This window comes from Homo sapiens, chromosome 1 (genome assembly GCF_000001405.40).
Source record: "Homo sapiens chromosome 1, GRCh38.p14 Primary Assembly".
Lineage (NCBI taxonomy): Eukaryota > Metazoa > Chordata > Mammalia > Primates > Hominidae > Homo > Homo sapiens.
In genome coordinates this window covers 212,161,824-212,164,486 of record NC_000001.11, presented here as the reverse complement: position 1 = coordinate 212,164,486, position 2,663 = coordinate 212,161,824, and positions in this window count along the sequence as shown.

Sequence of the window (2,663 nt, the reverse complement as noted above, 5' to 3'; positions counted from 1 at the left end):
TACCATGGCTGGCCTTGCAATATAATTTGTATATAATAAAATTTGTCAATTTTAAGAGTACCATTTGATGAGTTTTCACAAATGTATGGAGTCATGTAACCACCACCACAATAGCCATATAGTACATTTCCATCACCCTACTCTGGATCCTGTGCTGAGAAAGACTGAAAGATGGAAGCAGAGAGATGAGTTGAAAACGTTACTGTGGTAATCTCGGTGAGAGAGAACCATGGCCTTAGACCAGGTGGCAGCAGTGCAGGTGATGAGAAGTGGTCATAATCTGAATATATTTTGAAAGTAGGAACAACAGGTTTTTCTGAAAGACTGGCTATAAGGTGTAAAATAAGTCGCAAATGACTCCAAGGTTTTTGTCCCAGCATATTGAAAGGATAGAGTTGCCATTAATTGAAACAGGCAAGACTGTGGGAGGAGCAAGTTTGGTGGGAGGAGCAAGTTTGGTGGCAGAAGACGAGTTTGGGGTATTTTCAGTTTAAAATGTCTAACAGATATTCAAGTGTAGGTAGTTTGAAATACAAATAAAATGTCCAACTGATTGGAACAATCTAAGCAGGGGAGAGGTGTGAGTTAGAGAGAGATTTGAGAGATAAACTATTTCAGAAATAAACTATAATGTATCCATCAGGAAAGGATAGCACTCTCAGGGTGTTTGGTGGTGGATACAGACTATTTCAACAAGGGAGCTAATTAGCAGACACTGTCCAGAAGAGAGGCTTCCTGGACTCTCAGTGACTGAAACATTCAGAAATATTCCTAGACTATATATTGGTAAGTTATTATGTCCTCGGAGATTTGTAGGAATATCCCTCAGAACACAAGAAGTTCTGATTCTTGAATAGGCCTTTTCCAAGTTGATTGTTCCACATTTTACACAAGCCCCTTGTGGAAAAGGTGCCCAGTTTATGGTGATAATGATTACAGAGTCGTAGAGTTAGAGCTTGGAAGATATCTTAAAGGTTCTCTTGGTCCAACCTCACACCTATGGCATGGCTGATAGATAATTAGAGTCACATCCAATGGAAATGATCTCACATCTCCCAGGCAGACTCTTCTCCTGATGGTCAACTCCATTAGAAAGTTCTTTCATGTCGGGCATAGTGGCTCATGCCTGTAATCCCAGCACTTTGGGAGGCTGAGGCGGGTGAATCACCCAAGGCTAGGAGTTCAAGACCAGCCTGGCCAACATGGTGAAACCCTGTAAAAAATACAAAAATTAGCTGGGTGTCGTGGAGCACGCCTGTAATCCCAGCTACTTGGGAGGCTGAGGCAGGAGAATTGCTTGAACCTGGAAGGATGAGGTTGCAGTGAGCTGAGATTGTGCCACTGCACTCCAGCCTGGGTAAAAGAGGGCAACTCTGTCTCAAAAAAAAAAAAAAAAAAAAGTTCTTTCTTGCGTGAAGCACACATATGCCTCACTGTCGTTACATTTTTTTCTGCGTCTCAGAGACCCCGATGAATGCCTTACTACATTTAGCAAATGAGACTCAAAGTGCAAGAGCTTCAATGTGACCATAAGTTTCACCTTCACGGGGCCTGTCAAATGGTTTAGGTTTCAAAACTTAAGCCCTTGGCCTTCACTAAAACTTCCCAGTATCTTCTGTCAAGAGGCTTCCTGGACTTTTGAAGAGAAAGTAAACTAAATGGGTGTTTGTTTCTCATCAGTGAAAGCAACGTGCTTGCAGAGGCCAGCTGGTCTATTTTTGTCTGTGGGTGGTGGATGGTTGCCAGGATTGAGCAGAGGTGTTTTCCTGTGGTAAAGACCAGAGATGGGGGTTGGTGGAGATGGTTCTTGATGCAGGAGAAGGAAGATTCGTGAACAGGATTCAGAACCTGGGAGCCTGTTGAGGAGGTCCTAGGGCTACCTTCAAGCTCAGACCCCTCATTCGCCGCCTCACTTGCATCCTTTTTCAATGTGTGCTCAGGGACTGCTAAGAGACTCATTCCTCCCCTAACAGGCAATAGCTATGAGGCTTTTAGTTGGGCCAGGTCTTGCAGGACACTCATCCTTCTGTATGATGGTCTCATTGCTGGTATCCTGGGTCCAAGTGTCCCCTACTCATCCTCACTAACAGGGCTCTGGCACTGCTTGTTTAGATGCAAATGTCTGGGGTGGGAGGACGTAACCACCTATAGTGGCACAAAATGCCCAGGAGTCAAGTTAATCCTAAGGATTTGGGGACTAACTCAGATGCAAAGCCTGAGAAACACCTGTCCACAGGCCCAAAGAATGTCTAGGGTTTTAGAGCCATGGATTTGAGACCCAGTAGAGCTGGGACTAAATGAAAGCAGTTTGGGAATAAGCCAATGTAGGGTCCTGGGTTATTTTAGCATCTGCACTTTCTTTAAGGGCCCACGTGTATGTGGGATATTCACAAGTGTGAATTCAGGGTGGTTTTTTTTTTAAATTGGGATTTTTAAATATAGATTTTAAAAATATAGATAAAAATATGGATTTCTGGGCCTTGTCCTTAGAAATTCTGATTCAGTGAGTCTGAGGGGGACTCAGAAAGCTGTCTTTTGAAAACTTTCCCAGTTTACTCCGATGTGTGTTTGGGAATCATCAGCTTAACGAATTAGAGGTGGGGCAGACACTTGTCTGTCAACATCCAAATTTCCTGTCCTCAGCCTTGGTGGTGCGCTTGCCT